The sequence below is a fragment of the Homo sapiens genome, chromosome 11 (assembly GCF_000001405.40).
Source record: "Homo sapiens chromosome 11, GRCh38.p14 Primary Assembly".
NCBI lineage: Eukaryota > Metazoa > Chordata > Mammalia > Primates > Hominidae > Homo > Homo sapiens.
Genome location: NC_000011.10, coordinates 104871209 through 104882620, shown reverse-complemented (window position 1 = coordinate 104882620; position 11412 = coordinate 104871209). Strand labels below are relative to the sequence as shown.

General features: G+C 34.8%; 1 long non-coding RNA gene across 1 annotated transcript, besides 2 other annotated features; it reads right to left on the bottom strand.

Moving 5' to 3' along the window:
• Nucleotides 1026-1095: an enhancer, noted in NCBI's record as "active region_5459". NCBI's record gives its function as "activates an Ori minimal core promoter by ATAC-STARR-seq in GM12878 lymphoblastoid cells {active_cell/tissue: GM12878}" and the evidence as "EXISTENCE:reporter gene assay evidence [ECO:0000049][PMID:35858748]".
• Nucleotides 5296-5385: a silencer, noted in NCBI's record as "silent region_3867". NCBI's record gives its function as "represses an Ori minimal core promoter by ATAC-STARR-seq in GM12878 lymphoblastoid cells {active_cell/tissue: GM12878}" and the evidence as "EXISTENCE:reporter gene assay evidence [ECO:0000049][PMID:35858748]".
• On the bottom strand, nucleotides 7053-9406 carry LOC107984380 (uncharacterized). Its single transcript, XR_007062985.1, has 3 exons — nucleotides 9206-9406; nucleotides 8440-8648; nucleotides 7053-7346 (listed from the first exon to the last, which is right to left on the bottom strand). It is a non-coding gene; the product is annotated as an uncharacterized LOC107984380 (long non-coding RNA).
• Between the last annotated feature and the right edge of the window lie 2006 nt (nucleotides 9407-11412).

Sequence of the window (11412 nt, the reverse complement as noted above, 5' to 3'; positions counted from 1 at the left end):
TTGTAAATATCAAATTATATATCCATATTAGCAGCTTTATTGAGCATTCAATTCATGGATCTAGATAATTTTTTGTTTTATCCTTTGAAAATTAATTACGTAAAATTTTATTATCCACAAATTCTAGATTTCTTTCTCACCAATATCCACAGTTTTTATTTTATTTTCATAAAGTTTTATATTTATTATATGTCTAGATTATATAGCCAATTAAAATAATGATAGCGAATATTCTGAATTATTATCTTAATAGGAATTCTTCCAGTTTCCTGATTAAATATATTTCCTGTTGATTTTTAGCTAGCTTTTATATAATTAAATGTATATTTACATTGCTATTTTTCATATGATTCATCTCTCAGTGTTATTTGAAGTCCTCATGTAGAATAGATAGAATAAATGGAAAGTATAATCTTTGTATTTAGAATACTTATATGATCATACTAGCCAGTGGTCTAATATGAAGCAGTGATTGCTTTCTTAGTATGACATCTTTGTAATGTAGGTTTATTTATTTCTTCTACACTTAAAATAATTTTGCTAATAGTTGATTTTGAAATCCCATATTTATATTTATAGAAGGGATTCTCATCTTTCTTGATTTATTTTTCATTATTTCATAGGATATTTTTAATAATACATATTTTTTAGGGAGCTACAAATGATATTTTTTAATAAACCAATAATACTTGAACATGTTTTATACCTGAGTTCACCTATAAGTTAACCTATAAGCACATATAAAGGCCAGCCTGTTTAATCCTTAATAGTTACTATTAAAAACTATCAAAATGATGTAAATTTTTAAAATAAATTACCAATATATGTTTGCATGTGTGTAGTGATTATTTTAACTTTTCATCTAGATGAAGGCTTAGTTATGCAAACTAAAAACTCTTTATTTTGTTTTAATCTTGAGAACACTGGCAATTTTGTAAAACTATCCAAACAGAACTAAAAATTATAAAGAGGGAAGTGAAAATCATCTATGTTCCACAAGATGCCATATGTTCTCTCATTTTCACCTTTCTGTCTTTCTTTGTCTCCTCACATACAAAGACATATACAATGAGAAGCATACTGTACAAGCCACTCTATGACCTGCTTTTCAATTTTCCTTAAAAATAATCACCTAGAATTAAATTGAGTAACAGATATGTGAAGAATAGGTGACATAAATGGAATAAATTCAGAAATCTTCGGGATGACAATCTATGGTGCAACTTTAGGGTGCCATATTTACATAATTTTCTGATTTTTCTCATCCTTTGTCCGTCCCACCTGCCCACTGCCACCAGCTGTCTTTTCTGTCACTCCTCTGTGAGTGCCTGCCTTTCAAAGGTCACCTCTTGGTTCAAGGTGGCTACCGGAACTACAGCCATTACTACTATTAAAAGCATACTCCAGCCAACAAGGAGGAAGAGAGGAAAAAAACACATTTGCCCTCCCTTTCAGGGAATCATTTATGCTTATAAGCCATCAACCAGAATTTAGTAACAGAGCAACCCTTAGCAATGAGATGAAAAGTGACATATTCATTGCATGTTACCACATGATTAGCTAAATACTGGGGATTCTATTAGGAAAGGAAAAAACAATATTGGGTCTCAACTGGCTGCCTCTGCTGTGCATTGTTTCCACATTTAATAGCTACCCAATATTCCTTTTAATAGGTGTACTAGAATTTATTTTATGAATTTAGGTAATTTCTAAATTTGTTATCTTAAGAATTTCTGTAATAAAACTTCCCTTGTACATATATCTTTAAGTTTCTGTCTGATAAAATTATTGGAATAAACTCTCAGAACTGAAAAGAGTCAAAAGCATTAAATTTTAACTTTTCTGTGTAAGGTATTGTTAAGAAAATTGTCCAAATGGGTACTATCTGTGAGCAGAAAGTGACAGGGCCCATTTATCTATAGTTTCACCAATGTGATATATAGTTAATCCTGTTGATTTGTCAAGCCACAAATAAAATCACTTTAAATTTTAGGTATTTCCTTTATAAATTGGTTAAGCATCCTTCCATATGCATATTGGTCACTATACACAAGTTACATGTTAGCTGGTGTCTCCTATTGCCCACAGGTTCTACACATGTTTGCTTTGCACTTAAAGGAACTATCTTCTGGGCTACCTCTCCAAATTCAAACCCCACCAAGCTTTTCCTCTTACCTGCTAGGCACATTCTCACTTTAGAATTTGCTACCATTACCATCACTGCCCAAAATAATACCCCTTCTCATCACCATACTCATATGGTATGCCACTGCACTTATTTCAGCCCTTATTGGCAAAATCTAATAAAAAGCTATCCGACCAAGGAAAAGTAGGGTTTGCAGAATTCCAAACCTGAGATCATAGAGCAAAGTATGAAAGGATGAAATTAAAGTTGATAAATAATTGTTTAATGACTGGTACAGTGCACTGCTGTGTCCTATGTAACTTATCAAAATCATTCTGCTCTTCTTAGTGTTACAGTAGCATTACCACAAAAGCAGAATCAGATTGTTTGTACCTGTATCATTCAGAATTTGATCAGAGAAGCAGAATCCTCTGAAAGCTGTTTCAATGGTCTATGTGAAGCTGATGCTTCTTTGTCTATGACTGGAACCTGTAGGGTACCTGGCAGGGTAAGCAAGAGGTGAGTGAAAATAGACTTGATGGTAAAGAAGCAAGACAACCTAAAACCTGTATGAATCAGCTAAAAACTGAAAGACTGGACTAAACTCATTCCAGTCTCTCACTGTTGCTATGCTTCCAACTTTGGAGATGGGTGTGTTCTGCAGAAGGAGCTAATGTTAAACTCATACCTGGATCTAAGTAATCATCTGATTGAAGAATTGAGGAAGCTGAAGGAGAAAACTGACTGGACCCGCAGGAACGGTGGGCCTGGCTGTTTCTCCAACCAACCACAAGAGTGGCGACAGACCTAAGTTGCAACGTGGCTCGTGTTTTTCACCAGGCTTCCATGTCTAATAAATTATGGTTGCTGCTTTACTCTCATCTTCCAAATCTCAGGAAAAAACAGCTCCTGTGGCCTAAGCTAACCTGGAACTACATATGGAGAGGAATTCTGAGAAACTTAGTTTCAGCTTAGTTAAGTTGACACAATAAAAAACTAAAACATTGGCCTGCATGTAGTACACTATAAATATGTATGTATAAATAGTCATATATATTGATCCACTGACTTCTCTTATCACTTCTACATTTTCTCCTTAGATGAAATCATGTAATTTCATTGTATTCAATGTCATCTATATGTTGCTATATTCCCAACTTTGTATATACTCAATAGATTTGTCTTCTAAGTTTCACATCAATATTTAACAAATTGACAACTGGTATATTTTTGGGACATAATTCCAAAACTGGATTTATATTTATCACGTCTTTCTACTCCTCAATTAACTCTTCCTTCATTCTTCCCACACTTCTTAGTGAGTGATACTTATACAGAACCAAAAAACTTGGAGTTATCCTTGATATCTTTTTCTCCTGCAAATCCCACATAAAATCAGTCACCTAGTTCTGCTAATTTTCTCTCAGTTTCATCCATTTTTCCACATCTGGTGTGGTAGGCCCAGGCTAAGGCAAAAATCATCTCTCAATTGAAGTATGACAAATGTCTCTTAATTCCTTTAAAAAATGCAAGCTCTCTTTTTTTGGTCTGGAAAAATATTGGGGAATACAATGAACAAATTTTGTGATTATAACAGTAATCAAATTAGAGGGATTGGCTAATGGCATTATGTAATGGGATTTTGCTGTACTGTTGAGAATATTCAGTTCTGCTATAGAAGATTAAAAAACAAATAGGATGGATGGAATTCATAAGAAGTGCTAAACATGGACAACAATATGCTGGAAAATAAGCATGTGAGATATAGGCAAAACCCACAGGATAGGTTTATTATATATAATGAAAAAGAAGTAATTTGTGAGACATAGGTAGAATTCAGATGATCTGGTAAAACAGATAGTAAGTTAGTAACCTGTATGACAACCAGAGATAGAATAAATAGAAAATGTGATGGAACAAAAATATGCTGCTTAGATGCAAAGGATGAAAAGACCCACATCTTGAGGATGCCACTTCTTCTTGATCAAGAACTTTATTAAACCTCAATTAGCCACCACTTGTTGACACACAGCATGGTTCTATTCTAGTCCTACCCAAGAAGTTCAATAAGATACCAAGTATGGTTCTATTCTGATCCTGCCCAAAAGTGCAAATAAAACCAAAGGCTGTTCAACAAATGAATTGATGCTACTCTTGCATCAAGCACACTTCTCCTGCATCTCTCTGAAAGAGGAGGTTTGTGTCCTTGGTTCAGGATATCTTCCCTTGGGGCCCTTCTCTGTTCAGACATTAACTCTGGCCCTCATCATTGAACCAGCACCCATGAAGGCTGATGTTTCAAAAGAGAAGCAAGATTTATGCACATTGTGAACCCTAGGACTCAGGGAGTGTAGTCCTTTCACCCTGTTTGCACCTCTCTAAGTGAATTACCTTACCCCAATTCATTCTCCTTGTTTTTTGCTCAGTATTTTAATCAATTTAATAAGCCATGTGGTTTGGTCATTTTAATTTGGTCTGAAAGCCTTTCTGTTCCTCGACCTCTGGGATAGCTCACCAGTTAGTGCTTCCACTGCATCAAGGCAATTTCCCACATATTGCATTCTCAGCTAATGTAGTGTCTTTCTGTATTGAAAGAAGACTTGGGAAGGAGGCAAATGCTTCTCAGCATCATAATACTAAGGCTATCATTTTTCAAGTCAGGTCAAAGTCTAATTGATGGGATAAATTTATATTCCTTAATGAGACTAAACTATGTGTGCTTTAGAGAAAATGTAATATACTTAGAACTGGTGTGTCTGCCCTTAAGTAATTTAGGAAGAAATTCATCTTTTATGTTTACTGTTGGAGAGAATAGGGAATATTCCCCAACCCAAAGGAATAGATTCCCCAGGTTTCATCAGTGTGAGCATAGTCTGGGCAGAAGAAGAAAGTCTAAGGCACCAGACTTTGAATAATTCAAGAAGGAAAAGAGAAATGACTTTTATGATAGTTTAAGTTTCTAAAGAAAGGCAAGTAGAAGTGTTTTTGTTATTGAAAGTGGACCTCTGGAAGAAGACATGGATTTTGAAGACAAACTGAAAATTAAAATTAATTGAAACATACTAGATTCTTAAACTAGTGCATATATGAGCACGCACATACACTCCCACCCCACCCCCCCCACACACACACACTGAGGCATGAGAATAGGAAGTCACACTTTTTTCCTTCCTCTCTGTCTTATTTTCGTTTTACTTTCATAGCCCTTGATTCTCAGAACTGCTTAATCTTTTTCTGAAGTTCAGTGTATTTTTGGTCTGAAACGGCAATTCTCAGCAAAATGACACTCCTATTTTCTGATTATTTCAGAACTAGAAAAGCAAAGTGTTGGCCTTCTGAGATTTAAGAAAAAATCATATTGTTTATTTCTAGTCTCATGCACTCAACCAATCACTCACCTCCACATTTCTGACACTAGATGTATGGGAGTCTTGCCCCACACACCAAATAATTCTCCGGCAGACACTAGCTGGGTTTCCTATAATTCAATTTAATTCTGACACTATCTAGATAGATAATGGGATCTGGATAGTGTCTGATATGGTTTGGCTGTGTTCCCATGCAAATCTCATCTTGAATTGTAGTTCCCATAATTTCCATATGTCCTGCGAGAAACCTGATGGGAGGTAATTGAATCATGGGGGCTATTTTACCCATGCTATTCTTGTGATAGTAAGTTCTCATGAGATCTGATGGTTTATAAGGGGCTTCTCCCTTCACTTGGTTCTCATTCTCTCTCCTGCTGCCATGTGAAAAAACACATGTTTGCTTCCCTGTCTGCCAGGATTGTAAGTTGTCTGAGGTCTCCCCAGAGATGCTAAACTGTGAGTCAATTAAACCTCTTTCCTTTATAAATTACCCAGTCTTGGGTATGTCTTTATTAGCAACATGAGAATGGACTAATATGGTGTCAGATCCCACAAGTTAAAGGCTTATTACCATAAAAATTTCCCCCACTTCAAAGGCCAATTGCAAGTAGTAGGTTATCAACAATACTTCCTCTTAACCAGCTATAAATCATGTTTTGCATTAGTGGCTCACAGAAGTCAGAGAAACAGTTTACTTAGAATTACTGGCTTATTAATCATGGATATAACCAAGGATACAGATGAACAGCCAGAGGAAGAGGTACATAGGGTGAGGTCTGGAAGGATAGCTTCTGTCCCTATGGAGTTGAGGTGCACCATCCTCCCAGCACTCAGATGTGTTCACCAACTCAGAAGCTCCTGAACCCCATAGTTCAAAGATTTTTAGGGAGGCTTCATCATGTAGCCATGACTGATTATAAACTCCATTTGCAGCCCTTCTCTTCTCTTTGAGGAATGGGGGGTGGGGATGAGAGCTCCAAGCATATAACCACGGTTTAGTCTTTCTGGTGACCAGCCCCATCCTAAAACCCACCAAGTCACCTCATTACAACCAAAGATACTTCTATTACCCAGGAAATTCAAAAGGATTTAGGACCTCTGTGCCAAGACCCTACATCAAAGACCAAATATTAGAACAAACAATTAACCTACCACCTTTATCTACAATGTTACTAGGAGCTTTGTCTCAGGAATCAGGGCAGAGACTAAACATTAGAACAAAAGATTCTTTTAGCACCTCTATTGCTCAGAAAATTGCAATAGTTTTAGGAGTTCTGTGCTAGGGACTGGGGTTAGAGACCAATATGTGTATTTCTTATTACTTCACTGATCTTCCCTGTCTGAAGAAAAGTACAGAAAAGAAGATGTTCCCTGAGCATGAGAAAACAGGAGACCAATTTTCCTAATTTTTATTCATTGGGCAGCAAGTGATATCTTCACAGGATAACAAGTGACAGAAAGGAGAGAGTCTGCTAAAGTAATATTAGATATCCCCATCTCTTTTGCATCCTCGCCAACCCTACTCCTGCCTCTGATTCATTCTCGAAACAATAGCCTGAGTGGTCTTACAAAATCTTAAAACAAAAAATCCTTAACAAACCTTTCCGACGCTGCTAACTTCGTTTTATATAATTTGTTTTCTCTGAACCACATGCAGACAAGCAGTTTCTCACCTAAGGGCCTCAGGGCCTCCAGGCATTCACATGTTGTTTTTTTCTGCTTGTAATACAGTAATTTTCCTTTCATTGTCCATTGGGCTAACTCATATGCCTTCTTCAGCCATCATCTTAAGAGGCACTTCCTCAGAGAGGACTTCTCTGATCCTCAGTCTAAACTGGATATCCTGTTATTTACTGGCATAAAAATGAGATTTTAAAAAATCCTTCAATGTACTTGTCACAAATTGTAATTATATATTTACCAATTTTTTTGTTTAATGTCTATCCTTTCCTAAAACTATAAGCATTTATTAGGGTAAACGATCCCCCTTTTATTCTCATCTGCACAGAACCTACCAAATTATATAAAATAGAATTTGTGCTCAGAAATACTTAGGGAATGGAATAAATTCTCAAATAAAGCATATGTTCCCAAAATGTATATGGATTCATCATGTTAAATATACCAGAGATTAGGCTAGATGGGAAAGAAATCACATCATTTATAGATAAGAATTTAAATATCTTTTAGGATTCAAGTTCAAAGTGTTTTATTGTCATGGCAAAAGAGTAAATGACCATGATTAGATGCATTTACTCCATTATATTTTCAAGAGTGTTAAACATTAATCAGAACTTCCAAATAATCATGTTTCTCTCCCTTCTATTTAATTGTGAACAAACTAAGAAGTCCACACCCTATTCAGATAGTTAGAAATAAGCAAAACTCCTTTACCATTAAGTTGGTGTCCTAAGATTATTGTGAATATCTTTTGCCTGAAAGTGAGGCACTCTCCCATAATAGCACCCTTCCCCTGGCTGCATTCACAGACCCTAATGTGGTAAAATTATTTCATAGCAGAGAAGAGCATGAATACGATAGTCCCACCTTATCCGTGTTTTGTCTTCTGTGGTTTCATTTACCTGCAGTCAATTATGGTCTGAGTATTACAGGATTTTGAGAGGGAGAGAAAGACTATATCTACGTAACATTTTTACAGTATCTTCTTATATTTTTTATTTTACTATTAGATATTATTATCAATCTCTTACTATACCTAATAAATTAAACTTTATCATAGTATATGTACAGGAACGAGCACCGTAAATTTAGTGTTCAGTCCTATCATACATTTCAGGCATGCACTGACAATCGTGGAACATGTCTCCCAAGAAAGGTAAGAGGGGAAAACTGTGTTTTCTAAGCATATGCCCCTCCAAAAAGACGAAGAAGAGGCCAAACTGGTTATATGCAACATATTCTTATTTCACAGATTAGATAACTTACTTTCTTTCCCATTATGAGGAGTGAAAAGAAGGAGAGGACAAAGTGCAGAAGGCCTCCTCCGAGTGTTGACTCTTCCTGTGTAGTAGGACTGATGCTTTCTTTGTAGGCCAAGTTACAAATTCAGGAAGAAGGAGACCATGGTTTTGCCAACTTTCTTCTCTTTTCCTAGATATTTTCTCCTCCTCAGTTTATAGTTTAAACACTTCTTCCTGTGAAAGAAGTGACATAGGAAAGTCTATGTCACTTCACCTAAATCCACAAATTGCTACCCACTACCATTTACAAAGAAAGAAAATGAGAAAAACGTAACTTTTAAAATCTAAAGGATTGTAAATTATATGAAGAGGAAAAAAATTGCATAACACTCTACACACAGAGTTAAGAAAAGTAAAATAACGGCATTCAAACATTTTATCCAATTTTATATTAAAGGAAAACATAAAGAAGCAAAAAACCAATACAAGCAGCTTCCTTATGTTTAAGAAAGTAAGTGTGTGTGTGTGTGTGTGTGTGTGTGTACAGCAAGGTTTCTGATTTAGTAAATACTAAGAAAAGCAAGTTAGTCTTTCATTCTTTTTTAAACAATACCATCACGAAATTCTTGTTTTTCATCCCAGTTATCAACGGTTTGAAAGTAGCTATGTTTGGACCTGGACCATTCTCCAGCTCTTTTTGTTTGTATTACCCGTGCCCACCTAAAGGGCGAGCACAGGTCAGAGGACAGCCCCTGCTCCCAGGCCACACCCGCTCCCAGCTGCACCCTTACCTATGGCCTCGCTTGATGATGATGCCATTCTCAGTAGAGAAGGCGTCTAAGGGCAACCCTTGGATGTTCCAGTTCCAGACTTTGGTAGGATTGGACAGGAAGTTATCAACGGCAAAGCCAAGGGAGCAAGGAACCTGAAGCTCCCAGATCTTGAAAGTATCTGGTTAGATAGAAAGAAGTCCAGCTGAGAGAGCAAGTTGTTGCAGGAAAAAGAAAAGTGCACTCATTGGTTAACAAGCTAAAATTAATACCTTACATACACCCTGAAACACAACATTATAATTTCTATTTCTAATAAACTTAAAATCAAAACCACAATGAAAAAAAGTAAATACTACAAATTAAGAAATAAGAAAAAACTACTATTTAGAAATTATTTGCTTCTGGATCCTTCCAACAATCAAAACAATAAACTAGAAGTATTTTGTCCCTTTTCTCAAAACACTTAATATGGTATGGTAGCATAAATACATTAATTATGTTATTATTAATTTAATATGGATTTATTCTACTTTTTCCTTGATATCATGAGACATGAAGTATCAGTTATTATTTTTAAAGTAGGTGAGCATGGCTTTAATTCAAGTGCAAAAATTATAGTTTTTCATCTCTGCAGATGGTAATAAAAGAGTAGGGCATACATTTTTAAAGGTAAAAATAGATAGGATAATTTGAACACAGCAATTAACTCAGCAGCTTATCAGTACGTTTTTATTTTATTTCCTTTTAAGACAACGTTGTTTTCTATATTTGTATGAGAAATATTTAAATTGTAGTTTGTTTAAAGAGGCATTTATTTCAAGTGTGTAGTAAGCGCTGATTCTGCAATTATTGCTAATTAGAGAATTTCCAAATTGCCTGAAGTGTTGAGAACCTCATCATTTTATCATTATTCCTTTCTACTTTTACTTCAAATTTATGAAATGAAAAATATACTAAACTAAAATTAAACTTTCAAATACATAATATTGCTAAACTTTGTCTTTTAGCCACAATATATTACCACATTATAACCTTTCTATGTTTACAGTAGAGTTGGTACAAACTCAATAGTGACAGCTTTTACCTCAGTGACTCATCTATGCTAGTTCATTGGAAACATGTAAAGGTTATTTGTGCTACTAAATTTTGCATCCCCCAAACAAACAAACAAACAAAAAACAGTTTTCACTTCAAATATGAATTTAAAATATATGTTTGAAAATTAAACCACAATCTATATTGTAGCAGGGAGAAGATATTTACTTTAGATAGGACTTTCATTTTTATTTTCACAGATTGTGTTTCATTGTAAAATAACAGTGAAAGTAAATGGTAATAATTATTATTGTCCTTTCTGTAACTTCATGGAGAATCACATAAGGAAAAGTGGTACTAATCAGGGTCAACTTATGGTAAAGTGCTTTCCTTAAAATTTCTAAAAATAGGAAAAATAAGTCAAAATGGTTGAATCAAAGATGGGGAATTAATAAAGATTACTGCGTTCTCCCTTAGAGGATCTCTGAGATTTTGTCCTTATTATCACAAATTGGGCCAGCTCAACTTACATAAAATATAGTCAGATGATATGGCTACTTCATATTTGAAACCAATCCAATTCTCATATTAGTAAATATCTTTAATTATTTAATTCCCAATATTTTAGTAAATGTGGTAATAATTAAGTAGGTCATTTTAATATTAATTCCATTTACTCAGAGAACTGTATGAGATATTGAGGGTTAGGGAAAAGAATAAGAAATGACAGGTCTCATCACATAACATGAAATTTAATGGATTTGTTTATGAAACTACATGAAATTTAAGGTAAACATAAAATTTTATAAGTGAAGGTTGTATGTTAACACCATGGGGCAGTTTTTTATTTGTTTGTTTAGTTTTTAAAAAATGCTTTATTTTCTTCTATGTGTTCAGTACCTGGCATTTAGCAGTCACTCAATACATGTTTGTTTAATCAGTGAGGTTTCACGTTGGAAACAGTTAACTGTATCCATTTAGATTCTTAAAAGACTATTTGGTAAAAGTTTTATTTTCCACATGTCTTATAAAATTAAATTATACTCCCAAATAAAATGTGAAGGCTGGTCAATAATACAGAAAAAGGAGCCATGCTCTTACAAATATCACATAAGGACAAGACACTAAACATTAGTAAGGATGTACTATGTGACTTTCAATGATAATTGTAGAAAGCAACAGGAGTTTTT